Raw genomic sequence first — 19,769 nt, forward strand, 5'->3', positions numbered from 1 at the left:
CAGGACCTTGTTTTGAGAAACACTGCTGTAATAGAAAACTCTATTTTTTTCTCTTTTTGTCTTCTTTTAATTTAGCAGAGACAGGGGCTCCCTATTTTGCCCAGGCTGGTTTCCAACTCCTGGGCTCAAGTGATCCTCCCGCCTCGGGCTCCCGAAGTTCTGGTATTACAGGCATGAGCCACCATGCCCGGCCGAAAACTTTGTTTTAAACTTGATAATCACCATTATAGACCATCTTCATGTTTTCATAATAAAGATAGGGTGCAAACTGGCACTGTCATATACATAGAGCTTGGGGAAAAAATGTGCTGTAGCTTGGTAAATTAAAAAACGACAACAAAAACTAAGATAAGACTAAAATCCCTAGTGCTGCACCACATTTTTCTTAGTACTGAAAAGTGGCCAAGGAGCTGGTAGATAAATCTGAGGCTATTTAAGAAAAAATGTTTTAACTGTTTTGCAAGACTCAGGTGGTATCTCGTTTCTCTGTCTGTGGTGGGCGCATAGTTGGAGTAGAGAGTTGGCATACAGGGATAAAAAGAGGATTCAAATTGAAAAGTACTGAGCAATTACACTCAAAGACCTTGAATCCAACCCTGCAAAAGTTTTCATGGCTTCCAATTCCTAAATTCATTTTAAGTTTAAATGAAAGCAACCATCTAAGTGATGTGCTGGGACTCAGATCAGGGCTAACATTATAGATCTTATTCCAATTTCATAAACCTACATATTGAAATAAAACCCCAAATGCAAACAATGCATTCAATCACGTTGTAAATCATTTTCTGTGCTGGTTCTTTCAATCTTTAGCCAAAACTAGATCTGGGACAGATTCCAGGCAAGGACAAAAATGCAAAATTCCATACTCCCCATTCTTTGATTATTTTACCTTGAAGTGGATACTCGACAGTTAGCCACGGGAGAACTTGAAATTTTCTGATTCATTCTCCTCATTAATCAAATTGACCAAGTAATTTTTAAACCTCCAGTCAGCTTTGTGCCTTCCTGTTACTGGCCCAGTATGTAGTCTTCCTATGTCAGAGACCATGCACATAAAAAGAGTACTTGAAACTTATCTAGACCTACAACCAGTTTGACAGTGAGGAAGTTGAACCCAGCTTTCTTCGGGAGTTGCCCAAGATCAAACGGCTTGGGTTTGTGGCAAAACCAGGACTCAAGGTTAGGAATTCTGACTCTAGGCAAACGAAGCTCTTGAGAGTTCTTCCAAAACACTCCATGCGAGTGATTTAGGATGGTCCTAAGGCAGGAGGAAATGCAAAATGGTGGCACCCTTTGCCCTGACAAATGGTTCCTGAGTGACGTTAGTTTCTATGGTGGTGTAGCAAGAACATTTGAACTTCAGGCACGAAAACTGGGTTCCAGACACTAACAAACTACGTGCCCTTCGTGAACGTGCTTAATTTCTTTATGGGAAAGCAGCCAGTACAAACCTCCCCACTCATAGCTATCCAATATATCATTTCCTTCTTTCACTTGGGAATTATAAACATTCAGGGGAATAATGTAAGGTAAATCACTTAGGACAGTGTCTGGAACATATTAAGGCTCAATATTATCACTGACTACTACTATACTGCCAGTCTTTCAGAGAAGCTCTTGCTACGCGCCTCTAAAACGTAGGTAACACGCTAAATGTATTCTCGTAATTTTCTTTTACCGTGGCCCCAGACTGCGCATGTGCGCCCCCGTGCGGAATCGCGCACCCCAGCGGTTTTCCAGCGTACGCACAAGTTCCGCCCTAAGGGACCGCCCCTTTAAGCGCGGGCACTGCGGTGGAAGCGCGCGCTGGTCTGGACATGACGTAAACCAATGGGCAGGCCCGGAAGACAGAGGCGTTTGCTTCCGTGGCCAAAGGCGCTTCATTTCCGGGTGAAACTGGCATTGAGGGTACTGGGGCGTGCGTGAGGCGTTTACTGATGCTTCCTGGTCCGGTGGCCTCGGTCCCGGTAAGCCAGGCATGAAGATCACAAGGCAGAAACATGCCAAGAAGCATCTTGGCTTCTTCCGCAACAACTTCGGAGTCCGCGAGCCGTACCAGATCCTGCTGGACGGCACCTTCTGTCAGGCGGCGCTGCGGGGCCGCATCCAGCTGCGGGAGCAGCTGCCCCGCTACCTCATGGGGGAGACGCAGCTGTGCACCACAAGGTGGGCCCGGGGGGCTGGGGAGGAGGCACAGAGGGTCCGTCGGGTGTTGTAGAGGCGAGGCCGTTGCTCACAGACCTTCATTGCGAGCTCAGGAGGTGCAAAACGCCCCGCCCACGTGGAGTTGACAGTTAAGTGGAGAGGTGAAGGTGGTCAGGCGAATACCTATAATAGAGGCAGATTGGACAGTGCCCTGTGAATATCACGTGTCGTTAGCCTGGCGAATGAGAGCACATTATAGCAGAGAGATCCGACTTCGAATCTTGATCCCAGTTCTACCAGCTCTGTGATTTCTGTCAAGTTATTTAGCCTCTCTGAGCCTCGGATTCCTCATTTGTAAAATAAAGATGATAACTGCTTAGAAGATTGCTGTAAGCTCAAACGAGTATAGTGTACTAGAGCATTTTTCGGTATCCAAAGTGTACCCGTCTTCAAATGGTTGCTGTCATTTGCATAGCTTTTCTTAGTTTAAACCAAAACTCTGCAAGCCTCACAGTGAACCTGTGAGTTACCATCTTTGATGTCCAGGGCAAAAAGTCAGTACTTGAGATTAAGGAATCTGCCCAAGCACATTTGTTTATTCAACTCGCTTTATTAAGTACCTCCTATATGCCACATACTGCTCCCTCATGGCCAGTAAAGTGCATAAGTCAGTCTGCAGTGTGTGTTTTCACTCTAGGTCTGATGTTTCCCCACTTCATTGAAATGTGGGAACACTTAGGATGGAAGCTTGTCGGGATGAAGAGGAGAGAGGAGAGAATTGTGACAGATTTCAGATAACATTTGAGCCCATTCACTTGTTCAGTTCTGAGAGGAAGAACTATTTTGAATGACAGAAAAGAATGACACTTCTTGTTGTGGAGACCTCTTCACACGAAATGGAGTTATGAAATGCCTGGGAAAGAGGTTGCAGCACAGAATATATTTGGGAGTGAAACTAGGAAGAAGGCAAATTGAGGCTAGGCCATGAAGAACTATTAAGAAATTTAGTAGTTTTTTCATTGTAGAATATTTACTTTTAAAAAGCAAAAAAAGAAAATTAAAATGACTCATAATACCACTACTCACGAATAATCACTGTTAACATGTGCAGTGTCATCCATCCAGTTCTTTATACACACTCACACAAGCACAAGAATGGACTTTTAAGCCAGGCAAGGTGGCTCACACTTGTAATCCTAGTAGCTACACAGGAGGCTGAGACAGGAGGGTTGCCTGAGTCTAGGAGTTTGAGGTGAGCCTGAGCAACGTAGGAAACCCCCATCTCTAACTACAGCCATAACAAAGTATGGGCTTTTTCTGTGTATACTGTGTTAATAGTCTCCTTTTCCTCACATACGATTACTTAATGAACAGCTATCTGTATTTGTTCAGAATTTCTCAAGCAGGGTCTCGGCTGGGTTACAGATACCCCCAAAGTTTTGATCCCCTTAGTCTTTAGGGCTGTCTAACAAATCCTTCAGTAGTCTTTGCTCCTGAATTGATTGCTTTTGTCTACAAGCAATTTGTCCATATACTCCTGTGTGCCATAGAAATATTAACATTTTAAATATAGTGCTATGATATTAAAAAGGTTGAGAAGTGCCACATAAAATTATATTCTACAGCAATTTTTCTAACAAATTTATTTTAACTCTGGAATTTTTCAGACAACTCAAAGGTAGAATAATATAATGAAACCTCTCTCCAGCTTTTGCAGTTATTAACATGGCCAATCTTGTTGAATCCCTCACCTCTCCTTACTGATGGGTTGCTTTGGAGCATATTATTTATCACTTCTTTGGCATGTATCTTGAAAAGATAAAGAAGGCTTTTAAAAATCAGTATTCAAACTAAATACATATATTACATTTGATTTATATGTCACTTAAGTTTTTTAAAAAAATTTATTTTTGAGATGGAGTCTCACTTTATTGCCCAGGCTGGAGTGCAGTGGTGCGATCATGGCTCACTGCAGCCTCCGCCTCCCGGGTTCAAGTGATTTCCCTACATCAGCCTCCCAAGTAGCTGAGATTACAGATGTGTGACACCACGTCCTACTAATTTTTGTATTTTTTAGCAGAGACAATGTTTCACCACGTTGACCAGGCTCGTCTTGAACTCCTGACCGCAGGTGATCCACCCACCTCGGCCCCCAAAGCATGGGGATTACAGGCATGAGCCACCATGCCAGGCAGTTTTTAAAAATTTTGGCAGTTTCCCCTCCCTTTAAATTTTGCAATTTATGTTTTTAAGAAATCAGGTCATTCGTTTTTCAGTGGAATATATTTCTTGGCCACTAGTAGTTAGGTCTCTACAGAGTTTACTGATATTCAGGTTTGAAGATGTGTGGAGTTAATTGATGAAGTAGAACAGCAGAATGTTATCAGGCCTGGGTTTTATTTTAGAAAAGATAACTGCAGTGATGTGAAGGGTAAATTGGAGAAACAAGAGAGCAAAGGCATGAATCTGTTTTGCGGTTGTTTAATCAAGAAGTAAGGGGAGCCTAAACCTGGGAGAGGAAAGGCAGGAACCCAAGGGTTCTCCAAAGAAACGCTACGTTACTGAGATAGATAGGTTGAGCAGCTGATGGCATAGGAGTATGGGTGAAGAAGGGCAGGAAGGTCAAATGTGATTTCTGATTTCTATCTAGGGTGTCTGGGAAAATAGTAATTTCAAAGAGATAGCAAGTCTTGGAGGATAAATTTGGATACAGGAAAGTGGTTTGATCTTAGACATGGTGAATTTGAAGAGTTGATAGCAGGACATCCACAGGCTGGCAGTACTCAAAATAGAGGTCAAGTCTAATGACTAAAGCAAGCAAAATCTTCTTGAAACAGAAAGATGATAAAGGAGATGAAGCAAGAAAGAATCTGGCAAATGCTGGCTAGGGTTGAGGAACTCTTATGACTAAATGTTTTTTTAAAAACAACTTGATGATGTGAGAAGTTTTACTGTTCTGAATTGAAAATGTTTTGAAAGTATACCAATTTGTACTTGAAGCAGAAGCTTATTACGCTATGGTTGGGACAAGGGAGCTGTTGTCAAACTGCAAGTCTCGGTACCACTTGCTAGTTACTTGAACTTTGGCATGTTACTTGAAATCTCAGAATGGGGTGCTCTAAAATAAGGATAATTTCAAGGTAAGCGACCTAACTTCATAGGGTTACTTTGAGATTAATCAAGAATTTATGTAAAGAGCAATTTGCATACTACATGGAACATAATAAGTGCTCAGTTAATTTTAACTGTTGTTCTTCCTACTTGGTAAATGCATTTTTCAAGTGATCTTTTAAAGTAAATGGTTACCAGATGACAAATTTAGATTGTAACAGCATAGTTTTATTTTAAGAAAAAATCGACTATTGTTTTTTACACCTTATGTAAACAAGTGAAATGTATCTGCTATAATTTTTCTTTTCAGATGTGTGTTAAAAGAGCTAGAAACATTGGGAAAGGACTTATATGGGGCAAAACTGATTGCACAAAAATGCCAAGTTCGAAATTGTCCTCATTTCAAGAATGCAGTGAGTGGATCAGAATGTCTGCTTTCCATGGTTGAAGAGGGAAATCCTCATCATTATTTTGTGGCAACACAGGTGATACTACTTTTAAAACCACAGGCAATTTTCACCATTTCTATTTATACTTCATATGGAGCTATTTATAATCAGAAAAAAGTTAGAATGATTAGACTTTTAAAAATACAGGCTTCTAAGTTAATTTGCAGTCAGTAAAAGCAATTGTCATTTGAGAATTTGAGGAAAACTTTAAGCATGTTGATATTCTTTTTAGTAGTGGAAGGTTGGGTTTTGTTTTTTTTAATGATTCCTTTGTTTTGCTTTTTTTGTTTGTTTCTTGAGACTTGAGGGTCTCACTATATTGCCTAGGCTGGTCTCGAACCCCTAGGCTAAAGTGATCCTTCCACCTCAGCTCCTGAGTACCTGGGATTACAGGTGTTTGCCATCATGCTGGACACTGGCAGAAGTTTCTTTTTTTAAAACAAGAAATTGTTGACATGAGATGTGATGATTTGTTGTAGGGTTCTTGAAGGGAAGATAAGTAGAGCAAAGTGCCTGTATTCTGTTAATTTTTTTCATGTTCCTGTATTTCATACTGTTTCTCAAAGTCATGGTTCATACTGCTTAAGACTGTACCAACAGTATGAAATATTTCAGGCTTTTGAAGAAAAATATTCCCATCTTCTTGAAGGCAGGAGAAGAGAGACTTTTGGGGGTGATATTAAGTTCACATACATACAGATTTGATTATCAGAATTATAAAATTACACAGAGGTAGAGCTGAATTTAGAATCTGAGTAGCTAATTACTACCCAGTTTCTTTTCCTTTAACCTCTTTAAGCATTCTTGACCCTTTCCAAAGAATATCTTAGAGTGGAAACAGGAGAAACCCACCTAACACATTTACCTTTGCATTAGTTTGTAATTTGTGGCTCTAGAGTATCGATAAATCCGGTTCACACAGCTGCTACTAACACTGTGCTCAGTTTTTATGTTTTTCTTCCTTTATCATGAAATATACCCCCATTACTCAAATGAATAAGTGAGGCTTACTCATTTGAAAAATAAAATCTGTGATCTCTTTTATTTTTAATACAGTTCTTGAAAACCTATTTAAGGTACCTTAATTGACATTTGAACTAAATAATTCTGTTTTCTTTTAAATAGGATCAGAATTTGTCTGTGAAAGTAAAAAAGAAGCCTGGAGTTCCTCTCATGTTTATTATTCAGAACACTATGGTTTTGGACAAACCTTCTCCCAAAACAATTGCCTTTGTAAAAGCAGTGGAGTCAGGTCAGCTTGTCTCAGTGCATGAGAAAGAAAGTATCAAACATCTCAAAGAGGAACAGGGTTTAGTGAAAAACACTGAACAGAGTAGAAGAAAAAAGCGCAAGAAAATAAGTGGTCCCAATCCTCTTAGTTGTTTGAAGAAAAAGAAAAAGGCACCGGACACACAATCATCTGCTTCTGAAAAGAAAAGAAAAAGAAAAAGAATTCGGAACAGATCTAACCCAAAAGTACTTTCTGAGAAGCAGAATGCAGAAGGAGAATGAATCCTTTGGATACTTTCAAGGACATTCAAATGTGAAAATGAATTTTTTACAACTAGAAGTATTTATAATAAAAGACCAAACTTATTTTTGTAAATGAACCCATATGCTTTAGCTAAAATTAATTATAAAATAAAAACAGTGACCAGTCTAGCCAGCATGGCAAAACCCCATCTCTACTAAAATACAAAAATTAGCTGGGCATGATGGTGCACAGTTGTAATTCCAGCTACTCAGGAGGCTGAGGCATGAGAATCGCTTGAACCTGGGAGGCAGAGATTGCAGTGAGCCCAGTTCGTGTCACTTCACTCCAGCCTGGGCAACAGAGTGAGAACATGTCTCAAAAAAAAAATAAAAACAGTGAATGGGTGTAGGTGTGATGGAATTCACTTTACTTACTAAATGGTTTCGGGAGGTTGTTTCTCCAGGTAAAATTGTCGCCTCTCTGGTCCCATTCCCACCTTCAAACATTATATGCAAACAGTTTTAAAAAATCTTACAGTTCTAAAAGGCTTGTGACAAAAAAAGAGGCAGTCCCTCTTTCACATTGACAGAAGAAACTTCCTCTTTCAATTCTAGTAGTTGAAGAATTTATATTTCCAAATTGTATGATTATACCGCTACTTTTTGATACATCAATTATTTATTGACTTCCTACTAGAAAGAGTGAAATTTTGCCCATTTATACTGCACCATTTTTCCAGTATATGAATATTTTACTCTTTGTACATCAGAAACTCAGTATTTTCATTATTATGACTAGAGTTTTTTTGTTTGTTTGTTTGAGTTCTACTTGTCCAATAAGGATGATGATTTTCTTTTAGATGTAAATGTTAACTTCAATAGCAAGAATTCAAAAATAATATTCTCTTTGAGATTGACTGTGAATGTTATTGAAAAGTGTCTAAATTAGTCTGAGGATCAATGAGGGTCAATTCAGTTAGGAATTGAATAATGAAACGTGTCTCTCTGAATTCCCCCGGCAATTGTTTTAGTCATTTATCAGGCCAAAATTAAAATGTTTTTGTACTACAAGATGGAAGTATAAAATTATTGGACAAGTGAAATCGTATCAGTAGTTCCTGACTGACAGCTTCTGGAGCCACACTAGAGCAGTGATTCTCAGTCTAACATTAGGTTATCATGATGACGTATGAGTAAATTCTTAATGGTTAAATGTGAGACAGTTCACATTTATTCCCATAGAAATGTCATTCTCATTTGAATTCAGAGATACTTCTTTGCTGGAAGTTGGAATTATAGCTTTACACCAAGGAGTGACACGTAGACTAATCTGGCAAGCCAAGGTAGTGTTTGGATTGCAATGTCATGATTCTATTTTAAATTCTTGATGGTAGAAACATTTTTAATAAGGAAGGTAAAAATACTGGAAAAAAGTGAATAGTGTAGGTTTTGTGAGGAAAGTTAACATTTGTCAATGACAAGCATTAAGGCCACCTAATAAAGTGTAGACAAAGTGATAAATGAAATATACACTGATGATACTCATTTCAATATGCTAAAATACATTAAATTTAGGTATTACTCTTAATCTATTTCTACTTAGTCAGTGCTATCTGATTACCTGTTAATAGCATCTGAACTGGAGAGCTGGAAAAATCCACTTTTTTATGAAGCAGTAATTATAGAAGTACTAAAAATTACAATGTATTAGTAAGTTTAATATTTTGACAGGGCATGGTGGCTCACACCTGTAATCCCAGCACTTTGGGAGGCCGAGGCTGGCAGATCACAAAATTAAGAGATCAAGACCATCCTGGCCAACATGGTGAAACCCTGTCTGTACTAAAAATACAAAAATTAGCTGGGTGTGGTGGTGTGCGCCTGTAGTCCCAGCTACTCGGGAGGCTGAGGCAGGAGAATCGCTTGAACCCAGGAGGCGGAGGTTGCAGTGAGCCAAGATCATGCCACTGCACTCCAGCCTGGTGAGAGAGTGAAACCCCGTCTCAAAAATAAATAAATAAATAAGTTTACTATTTTAAAACTGGTTAATCATTTATGTATTTTGCCAGTAAAATTACTTTAAAAGATATTTTAACAAAAGTCTCATATCCTTGTACTTCAGTTTTTTTGTGTGTGAATACTATCCCTATACCACTACCCCTAAAACCTCAGAATTATTTGCTTTATTTTTTCATACAACTTGGGGAAGGGAACCATGGGAGTATGCACATGGGATCATAATCCATTCTGTGGTTTGGAAAAAGAAAATGTTAACCTCTGCTTTAGAGGGTAGCTACTAGCTTTGTTGGGGATAAAAGTGTAATACATGCACTTTTGAACTCTGAAAGTTTGCCAATCTGAAAAGGGGTGTTTCTGAAGACCACTATCTTTTACGAACACTTAAAAATAAGTGTTTGCAGTTGTGTATGGGCACGATACTGTATTCTTTACATTTTTATGGCCCTACAGCTACTTCTTATCCCTGCAAGTATATAAATTAAAACCAAGTCACTTTAGAACAGCTTTGAAACTAGAGTTTCAAAGGTAAAAGGATCTCATGTTTCTGAATCTGCGTAAAGCAAGATGGCTGTGATTTGACAGGTTTAATTGCTAGTTTTTTATAGGTGGATAGAAATGAATAGTTTGGAGTCTTTAAAATGTTTTAAAAAATGTTTGCTTACTATCTATATATATGACATTATTCCCAATTAGTTTTATATCTCCAAGATATATATATGTATATAGGTATATACACATATGTATATATACATAGTCTATATATTCTATATAAGAATATATTCCAATAAGAATATATTCCATACGGGAATATATTAGTCATTGATGTATTTTGCCGGTAAAATTAAAAGATATTTTAACAAAAGTCTCATCTCCTTGTACTTCAGTTTTTGTTTTTTTTTGTTTTTGTTTTTGTTTTGTGAATACTATCCCCATACCTATATTCCATACAGGAATATAGTCTATATATTCCATATAAGGATATATTCTATATATTCCATTTAATATATTCTATAAAAATATATATTCCATATAAGAATATAGAATGTATAATACACGAATTTGTACTGAGTAGAATGTGTCAATACATATTTGTTGAATGAATGAAAATGAAGGCCAAGTGTGGTGGCTTATGTCTGTAATCCCAACATTTTGGTAGGCCAAGGTAGTAGGATCACTTGAGCACAGGAGTTTGAGACCAGCCTTGGCAACATAGGGAGATCTCATCTCTACAAATAATCGAAAAATTGCCAGGTGTGGTGGCATGTGCCTGTGGTCCTAACTACATGGGAGGGTGAGGTGGGAGGATCACTTGAGCCTGGGAGGTTGACATTGTAGTGAGTCTTGATCATGTCACTGCACTACAGCCTGGGCGACAGAGCAAGACCCTGTCTCAACAAACCAACAAAAAAGTAAATGAAATAACGTCAGGTCTACCAGAAGGGAGAGTCATGACTCATCCAATTTCCAGACTAAAATAGTTCAAGGGCCAGAACTCCTTAATTTAAGGGGACGCTGGGTTCTCTTGAGAAAGAATCCAGTATATAAAAATTACAGTATATACTTGTAGCAGTGCTTCAAGTCCCCTTTCCCAAAGGGACCTGTGGCCACTTTCTAGAGGGACTGTGAATTGGGGAATAGAAATACTCAGACCTTTGGGAATATTTCTGGTTCTGAATTGATGCTAGTTGCTAGGGTCTCAAAATGCTACTGGACCACCATTTAGAGTAGGAGTTTATGGTGGTGAAGTGACAGAAAAATTGAGTTTTAGGTCAAATTTGAGTCCAGTGAGCTCAGTAGGTACTTGAGCCCATCCTGTTTATTCCCAGTTCAGAAAGTACAGTCGTTAAAGACATACTTGGTAACTGGTCATGTCCCCATATTGGCTCTCATTTATGGGCTAAGGGTCGTTAGGATAGGAAGGGTCAAGTAGAAGCTGTTGGAATTTCTCTTTTCTGCTGTATAATAAACCAAAAGATAGGACATCACTGGGGGAATTGCAGAGATTATTAACACTACTATCATCAAATGATAGAATGAGGTAGAAGTGTTTATTCCTATTACATCTCCATTTAATGCATCTATTGGGCCTCTGCAGAAGGTAGATGATCTTAAAACCAATGACTGTGGATTATTTTAATGTTAATCAGGCAAGATTTATTTCCAGCAGTTTTTTCAGATGTAATGTCTTCACTGGAACAATGAATACAGCTCTTCACACCTGATACAAAAATGTGCACCGCCCCCCCCACCCCCACCCCACCTGGCCCCTTCCCCATACCCTGCTCTTTATCAATGTGCTAGGACCACTAAAAGAACTTTGTTTTTTGGCTGACTGCAGTAGCTCACGCCTGTAATCCCAGCACTTTGGGAGGCTGAGGCGGGTGGATCATGAGGTCAGGAGTTCAAGACGAGCCTGGCCAACATAGGGAAACCCGGTCTCTACTAAAAATACAAAAGTTAGCTTGGCGTGGTGGTGGGAACCTGTAATCCCAGCTACTGAGGAGGCTGAGGCAGGAGAATCGCTTGAACCCAGGAGGCAGAGGTTGCAGTGAGCTGAGATCATGCCATTTCACTCCAGCCTGGGTGACAAGAGTGAGACTCTGTCTCAAAAAATTACATAAATAAATAAATGAAAAGAACTTTGTTTTTTCTTGACAAGGTTAATAGTACACCTTCACAGTCTTGCATCATGCATATGTTGGCTCATAGGCTCTCAGCCATAATATAGTCTGAAGAGATCTCGATTATCTTGACATTCTACACAACATCACATTGGCCCACTACAATGATTTATTTGTATGAAAAATAGTTGCACCATCTTAGGTGAAAGAGGGAGGGCCAGGTGCAGTGGCTCTCTCCTGTAATCCTAGCACTTTGGGAGGCTGAGGCAGGAAGATCACTTGAGGCCAGGAGTTTGAGACCAGCCTGGGTAACATGGCAAAAACCCTGTCTCTACATTTTTTTTTTAATTAGCCAGGCACTGTAGCATGCACCTGTAGTCCTAGCTAGTCAGGAGGCTGAGGCAGGAGGTTCTCTTGAAACCAGGAGTTGGAGGCTACAGTGAGCTATGATGACACCACTACACTCCAACCTGGGCAACAGAATGAGTCCCCATCTCCTAAAAAAAAAGAAGGAAACAGATTGTTCATTGTTGTATGAAAGTTTAAATATATGTATAGAAAAATATAAATATATGTATAGAAAGTTTAAATATATGTATAGAAGGGTGCATATGGATGCAGTGTAGGCAAAGGGGTGGGTTGGGCCAGTTCCAAGCTCACCTTTCTATATTCTACATTGTGATGCTGGAGCTGGAACTCTGCAACGTGCAATTTTCCAGTGACAGGTACTTTTTGTTGGGTTCTGCCAATAATGGGCTCTAGAGGCAGGATCTGGAAGGTTAGTGGGGGAGGAAAAGACTGAATTCCTCCTGTTGCTTCCTGTGAGCTTACTGCTTTTAGCTTTTGTGAATATCATTTCTTCCCTTCTAGCAGCAGCAATTTCTCATCCAAGTAGGCTTCAGATCAAGTTTGCAACATTTGCAGAACCTGCTATATTGCTTCAACCCACCTCCCTCCCATCAGAGAACCAGATACCAGCACTAGCTGGCTGGAGCCCACTCTTCTGAGATTTGTCTGGGTACTTGGCCCTGCCTCTAAGCTGAGAGACATCAGCACCTGTGGATTAAAGCCTAGCTTCTCAGAGGTTTCAGCTCCATAGGGATCCTTTTTCAAGCTTTTAAATTTTAAGAATTCTAACCCTTTCCTTTTGTCCCCCTTGACTTAGGGACAGAAACTGCTTCCTCCAGTTACTACCTCCAGAATCCTGAGTTCACTTTTTAGCTATTTAATTATCTGGTTAATAACTTTATACCTAATTAATATTGTTTATATTAAATGTTCTCTGTTTACATTACTGCTGTGTTTTTTCTCTTAACTAGACCCTGATGGACTACAATAATTTTGCTTGGCCAGCCTTGCTTCTTGTGTCCATTCTGGAGCTAGAGGAAGAGATCACCTCTACCTAAATTAGATAGACTGAGATTGAATAAGGCATAGTCTACTAAAGCAAAAATATAAGGTCCTATTACCAAGACAGGAAAGGAGGTATCAGAAAAAAATCATATCTAAGCACTAAGTTTATCTTTAAACTTGGGAAGTTGAAAAGACAACCTCCAGAATGGAAGAAAATTTTTGCAGCTAACATATTTGATTAAAAAACTTGGCCAGGCATGGTGGCTCACGCCTGTAATCCCAGCATGTTGGAAGGCCGAGGTAGGTGGATCACCTGAGGTCAGGAGTTCGAGATCAGCCTGACCACATGGAGAAACCCTGTCTCTGCTAAAAATACAAAAAAATTACCCGGGCGTGTTAATGCTTGCCTGTAATCCCAGCTACTTGGGAGGCTGGGGCAGAAGAATCGCTTGAACCTGGGAGGCAGAGGTTGCAGAGAGCCGAGATCACGCCATTGCACTCCAGCCTGGGCAACAAGAGTGAAACTTCGTCTCAAAAAAACAAAAACAAAACACTTGTATCTAGAATATAGAGTAACTACAAGTCAATAATTTAAAACACCCAATATTATATCAACATAAAAGTTTAAAAACAACCCAATTAAAAAATGGGCATAGGATATGAATAAACGTTTCTCCAAAGGAATATACAAATGGCTAATAAGCAGAGGAAAAGATTTTCAACATCACTAGCCATCAGGGAAATGCAAATAAAACCACTATGAAATGCCATTTCATACCTAGTAGGATGGTTATAATCAAACAGAAAATAACTGCTAGAGAGGATATGGAGACATTGAAATCCTCATATATTGCTGGTGGGAATGTAAAACGGTACAACTGGTTTGGAAAACAGTCTGGCAGTTTTTCAAGTAGTTAAACATAGAATTACCATATTATCCAGCAATTTTACCTGTAGACATATACCCAAGAAAAATTAAAACAGATACATGTACATGAAAATTCACAGCAGCATTATTGATGATACTCCAAAATGGAAACAACTCAAATGTCCATCAACTGATGAGTGGATAAACAAAAGGTGGTACAATGGAATATTATTTAGCAGAAAAGGAAATGCTACACATTACAAGATGAATGAACCTTGAAAATATGCTGAAAGAAACCAGTCATGAAGGATCATATATAGTATGATTCCATTTATATGAAATTCCAGAATAGGTAAATACATAAGACAGAAAGTAGATTAGTGGATTCCTTGGGCTAGAGGAGATGGTGATGAAGAGGGGGGTATAGGGATTTTCTGGGAGGGTAGTGAAAAAATTCTAAAGTCAAATGTTATGATCGATGCCCAACAACGTGAATATATTAGCAGCCATTGAATTGGTATACTTTAAATGGGTGAATTTGTGTATTAGGTAAATTATTTATCAATAAAGCTGTTTAAAAAGTGTTGTACACACAGTAAGCATACAATACCTTCTTATTCATGAATTAGTCAAGAAACCAAGTGGATTGAACAAATTATACCTCTGCACTTTAGGTGTATTTAGTGGTAGGTAAAGAAGAAAAGCAAATATATCCAATTGTTTCCAGTTTCCTTAAAGGGGGAAAAAAACAAAATTTACTGACAAGCTATTTGGGTGCTAATATTTTATTTCTTTTTCTCCTATGAATTAATCTCAAGTGGATCTCTGCTAGCTTACTAATGCTCACTGTCCACCACCTCATGCAGTCAGAAAGATGCCATCTGTTCTCTTCAGCTGCCAAAGTGTCACAGGTTACCCACAGGTACTAAATGCTGAAAAGATAAATCTTCCAGATGCTCATCATTTTGCCCAACTATTTTACAATGATATTTTGTTTAACTTTATATGAAAATGATAATCCCTATGTGATGAAATATTTTGATCTCCAAAATTGAATTAGCAAACAAATCTTTTATGTGCTGAGCAACATGAACATGGTGCAGTTTAGCTATCGGAAGTAATAGCATTCATACTGGGACTTACTTAGTTTTCTGCATTCAGAAAGAGCAGGGCATGAAAGGAATGTCATTGAAGTTTAGAATACCCATGTTTGCTATTAGCATGTGCTCTCCCCATCCGAGGCCCCTGAGAATGGTGGTAAAGCCAGGTAGCTAGTCAGGTAGGCAGCAGCCCTGATTTCGACAGCTCTGGGTTTTTCTCTCTCATCATCATTCCCTGAAACCGTACATTTTGACACTTAGAACTGTAACTAGGATTTTCTTTGGTTAAAGTTCAAAGACATTATTTTATTCCACTCTTGTTTTCCAGTAGTGCTTGATGTCATTTCTGGCACCTAAGTGCTTAATAAATGTTGAATAAATGAGTAAATGAATAAATGAACAAATTGAATTGAAGTAAATAAAGTATATTATTATCACCTGTTTCATAGGGTCTCCAGCCTTCCTGATTCATGACTGTCAGTATCACAGACATGTTCTCACTCTTTCTTTTATGTATGACAAAACAGGAGCTATGTAACTTTTCTTGTCAATACAGCACAGGTATTGCTCAAAGCTTTATGCCTGGAATGCTTGTACATTTGGAAATAATCAGCAGTTAGAGAAAAGAATCTTACATTGTGGTCAAAAGGAAGAAATAGTTAGAAATCTATTGTTGGCAAATATGTATTTTTTTTATAAATATGTATCTTAACTGAAATATTACTAACTTACTTCTAAAAATTATTTACTGCTTTTCTCATCACTATATATATATATATATTTTTTTTTTTTTTTTTTTTTTTTTTTTTTTGAGTCAGGGTTTCACTGTGTCACCCAGGCTGGAGTGCAGGGGCACCATCTCAGCTCACTGCAACCTCAGCCTCCCAGGCTCAAGTGATCCTCCCACCTCAGCCTCCAGAGTAGCTGGGACTATGGGACTACAGGTGGGTGCCACCACACCCAGCGAGTTTTTGTAGTGTTTATAGAGACGGGGTTTTGGATGTTGCCCAGGCTGGTCTCAAACTCCTAAGCTCAAGCTATCCACTCTCCTTGGCCTCCCAAAGTGCTGGGATTACAGGCGTGAGCCACCACACCCAGCCCTCATCACTCTATTTTAATGGATTATTTTGATTGGGAGTATTCTGAATATGTGTGTGGGTGTGTACACACTGTTGCACATAAAACACCTATTATTTTTTAGAACAAGTGTAATTAATAGTGCAAGACTGCCTGCTGCCCCTCACCTTCTAGCAATCCTAAAGCTGTTTCCCAGAGATCATTGCTAATTTCAAGAGGACAGAGACATACTCTTTCATTTCTCTCTCCGTCAACCAAAAAAAGCTGATGATAAGAGAGCCATCATCTGACCAGTGTCTGACTCGGTGTCCTCCCTACTGGGTCATTATCCTTTGTACTGACATCTACTCTGTACTGGCTTCCTGGAAGACACCTAACCATCCTCCATTATTTCTCACTGCAATGACGAAGTACTGTAACCTTTCTGGAAATAATGGCCTATCATTATGCATCTGGTCCCTACCATGCTCTGGCTAAACATACCCAGGACCTTCTGAAAAAAAGAAATCTGAAAAAGAAAAAGGAAGTCAGAAATAGGTATATGTACAATCAGTGTGAGAAGCAGAATGCTGTGAGACAACGATTCTCAGCTCTTACTGTGCACCAGGATCATGGGGAACAGTAATAAAACTAATAGATATCCAACTCCAACCTGAGAGAATTAGATCCCTTTAGTCTGAGATGGGTCCAGCCATTTGTGTAATGTAAATGTCCTCCAGGTGTTTCTAATGTGCAGGTTGGTTGAGAATCTCTGGTGTAGGAAAGAACTTGAGTTTGAGAGTCAGGTAATTTCAGGTTCAAATAATCAACTTGGGCCTCTCCTTTTCAGTTTTCTAATAGGTAAACTAGGGTTGATAGGGGTGTAAATAATTATAGTGTCTGTCACCTGATACATGGTCAATAAATAGTTTCCAGGTTAAAGTGGATTACTATGCAGCCATTAAAACTTTTGGTGGGTAGATCACCTGAGGTCAGGAGTTCAAGACCAGACTGACTAAAATGGTGAAACCCTGTCTCTACTAAAAATACAAAATTAGCTGGGAGTGGTGGTGGGTGCCTGTAATCCCAGCTACTAGGGAGGCTGAGGCAGGAGAATCACTGAACCGGGGAGGCAGAGGTTGAAGTGAGCCGAGATCACACCACTGCACTCTAGCCTGGGCCACAGACTGAGACTCCATCTCAAAAACAAACAAAAAAACAAAAAAAGGGATGTATTGTCTCACAGTTCTGGAGGCTGGAAGTCTGAAATCGAGGTGTTGGCAGAGCCAGGTTCCCTCTGAAACCTGCAGGGCAGAATCAATCCTTCTCTGCCCCTTCCTTGCTTCTGGCAGTTGCTGGCAATCCTTAGCCTTAAGGAAGGCCTCCTGCTGCAGCACTGCCACCTCCACGTCTGCAGTCACAGGGCGCTGTCCTCACCTGTGTCTATGTCTCTGCATCTCTTTTCCTCTTTTTTTTCCTTTAAATATTTATTTATTTATTTATTTTAGCTATCTCCTACTAGAAGGATTTTGTTGTTTTTTATTTTCTTTTTAGTTTCCTTTTAGTTTCTTTTCCTCTTCTTATAAGGACATCAGTCATATTGGGTTACAGGCCCATCCTACTCCAGTGTGACCTCATTCCCAACTTTAGTTACATCTGAAACGACCCTACTTTCTTTTCTTTTTTTTTTTTTTTTTTTGAGATGGAGTCTCACTTTGTTGCCCCAGGCTGGAGTGCAGTGGCACCATCCCGGCTCACAGCAACCTCCACCTCCTGGATTCAGTGATTCTCCTTCCTCAGCCTCCCTAGTAGCTGGGATTACAGGCACCCACCACCATGACCGGCTAATTTTGTATTTTTAGTAGAAACGGGGTTTCACCATTTTAGCCAGGCTGGTCTCGAACTCCTGACCTCAGGTGATGCACCCGCCTTGGCCTCCCGAAGTGCTGGGATTACAGGCTTGAGCCACTGCGCCCGGCCCCTACTTTCAAATAATGTCACATTCCTAGGTACTGGCAGTTAGAACTTCAACAAATCTCTTTAAGGAACATGATTCAACCCACCACAGAATGGAAAGAAAAGAGGTAAAATGATGGGTTTTGGCTTGAGCAACTGGAAGGATAAAGTTGCCATCAGCCAAAATGGAGAAGGCGGCAGACAAAGCACATTTTGGGGGTGAAGATCAGCATTTCCAAAATATTTCAACTCATACTACATACACAATCAGCTGCTTGTTCCACAACTAAAAAGGGAGGGGAGAATTACATTCTTGTAAATGTATGTGGATTATGGCAAAAATAATTCTGAGAGCTACTGCTCTCATAAGAAATTCATATATATTCAGAAAACAGTTATTCAGTTTCCTGAATAAAAGCTTAAATTGTTTAAATGAATGGGAAGTTTAAAAATTGCATTTCATATTTGTCAGGACCCACCCCCGCCCCTTTGTTTTTTTGCAAATTTACCTTTAGCACACAGTTTCGGCACTGAAGAGGAAAAACTCTTTTTGAAAATCTATAAAAGCTTTCTGAACTCTTTAAGTAGGCAGAGACGACTCTTAGGGGATGAGTCTAAGTAAACACTTAGCTCATTATGTAAATTTGATGTGTGGGTGCCAAAGTCATTATAATATTTCAGTTGAAAGTTACTGAATGTTCATAGCTTTGAATCATTTTCAGAGAGTTTCATCTTTCTTTGAACACCTTGTCATATTTCCAATGTCCTAGGGATTATTTGACTGTACAGACTAAAATCTATTCAAAATGACATAAACAAAGGAAAGGCTCTACTGGAGCATCTCCCAAAATGCCAGGGAGGGGAGAGAAGCTGGGCTTCATGAAGACCAGTAACTGGAAACAGGGCCCAAGGCAGCTGCCCTCTCCAGCCCCATCTCTTGGGTTCCCAGGGCTCTTGTCTCTGCATCTGATTTGCCTTGTGTTTTTGCTTCATTTTCCCCTCCCAGATGGGCAGTTGCCCCTCTTCTGCCTGCTCATGCTGCCTCCCCATCCTCCAGTGGCGCCCTTAGCCTCAGAGTTTATATCACTCTAGGAAGCCAGGGCTGACGGCTCAGGAATCTATTCTCTCCAGAACCTGAATTCACATCTTTGCAAGAGGGAATCTGATTGGCCCAGCGTCCGAAATTGTTTACTTATGGTCTAATCAGCTGTGTCAGGGGGGCATGGTCATGTTCATTCATTAGAAAAATGTTTACTGAGAGCCTACTGTGAGCCTCTTGCTCTTATAGGTTATATGGATATTGCAGAGTAAAGTCCCCACTCTCAGTGGAGCTTAAAATCCACTGGTGTTGAGGAAAAGTGTCTGTTTTCCACCCTGTGTATATGTGTATGGAACGGGCTGGTGTTAGAGCAGGGTGGACAGACATCCTAAAAAGATAATATTCTATTTTGAAATCTGCCAAAATAAGAGATGTCATATCTGTCTGGGCTAGGCTATACTTTCATTTTTTTTAAATTGCAATTGCAATAAAGAGATTCACTCTCCCTTTATGCCTTATCAGAAGCGGAGAGATCTGCTGCTTAGAAGGTGAGATTCTTCGTTTGTTCACCCATTCCTG

The 19,769-nt window shown here is 39.6% G+C and overlaps 2 protein-coding genes and 1 long non-coding RNA gene across 10 annotated transcripts in view, besides 2 other annotated features; 2 read left to right on the forward strand and 1 right to left on the reverse strand.

Moving 5' to 3' along the window:
• The window catches only part of EIF3H (eukaryotic translation initiation factor 3 subunit H), a 124,245-nt gene extending 122,496 nt beyond the window's left edge, over window positions 1-1,749 (reverse strand). For 3 of the 7 annotated variants that reach the window (XM_047422380.1, XM_047422382.1, XM_047422381.1), the window contains exon 1: window positions 890-1,749. The gene's annotated coding sequence lies outside the window, so the exon portion shown is untranslated. The remainder of the gene's footprint in view (window positions 1-889) is intronic. The other 4 variants (XM_047422386.1, XM_047422384.1, XM_047422385.1 and 1 more) reach the window with 3 other exon arrangements.
• Window positions 1,816-1,965: an enhancer, noted in NCBI's record as "active region_27830". NCBI's record gives its function as "activates an Ori minimal core promoter by ATAC-STARR-seq in GM12878 lymphoblastoid cells {active_cell/tissue: GM12878}" and the evidence as "EXISTENCE:reporter gene assay evidence [ECO:0000049][PMID:35858748]".
• UTP23 (UTP23 small subunit processome component) lies at window positions 1,899-10,059 on the forward strand. The gene is made up of 3 exons (NM_032334.3): window positions 1,899-2,166; window positions 5,567-5,741; window positions 6,831-10,059. The coding sequence occupies exons 1-3, from the start codon at window positions 1,979-1,981 to the stop codon at window positions 7,215-7,217; spliced, it is 750 nt and encodes a 249-aa protein (NP_115710.2). The 5' UTR covers window positions 1,899-1,978; the 3' UTR covers window positions 7,218-10,059.
• Window positions 1,976-2,285: an enhancer, noted in NCBI's record as "active region_27831". NCBI's record gives its function as "activates an Ori minimal core promoter by ATAC-STARR-seq in GM12878 lymphoblastoid cells {active_cell/tissue: GM12878}" and the evidence as "EXISTENCE:reporter gene assay evidence [ECO:0000049][PMID:35858748]".
• A 4,289-nt stretch (window positions 10,060-14,348) lies between the features above and the next one.
• Window positions 14,349-19,769, forward strand: part of LOC112268030 (uncharacterized) — a 71,615-nt gene continuing 66,194 nt past the window's right edge. Inside the window, exon 1 of one of the 2 annotated variants that reach the window (XR_002956724.2) lies at window positions 14,349-14,961. This is a non-coding gene — a long non-coding RNA (uncharacterized LOC112268030). Of the gene's footprint in view, window positions 14,962-15,954; window positions 16,084-19,769 lie in introns of those variants that run through there. The other variant, XR_007061065.1, reaches the window with a different exon arrangement.

The sequence above is a fragment of the Homo sapiens genome, chromosome 8 (genome assembly GCF_000001405.40).
Source record: "Homo sapiens chromosome 8, GRCh38.p14 Primary Assembly".
In the NCBI taxonomy this organism is placed as follows: Eukaryota; Metazoa; Chordata; class Mammalia; order Primates; family Hominidae; genus Homo; species Homo sapiens.

What these genes read in the sequence shown, in the direction of transcription:
- UTP23 (NM_032334.3), top strand. Translation starts at nt 1,979, where the DNA reads ATGAAGATCACAAGGCAGAAACATGCCAAGAAGCATCTTGGCTTCTTC. An exon ending in ACGCAGCTGTGCACCACAAG is followed by an intron (nt 2,167 to 5,566) that starts GTGGGCCCGGGG and finishes TTTTCTTTTCAG; the next exon opens with ATGTGTGTTAAAAGAGCTAG. An exon ending in ATTATTTTGTGGCAACACAG is followed by an intron (nt 5,742 to 6,830) that starts GTGATACTACTT and finishes TCTTTTAAATAG; the next exon opens with GATCAGAATTTGTCTGTGAA.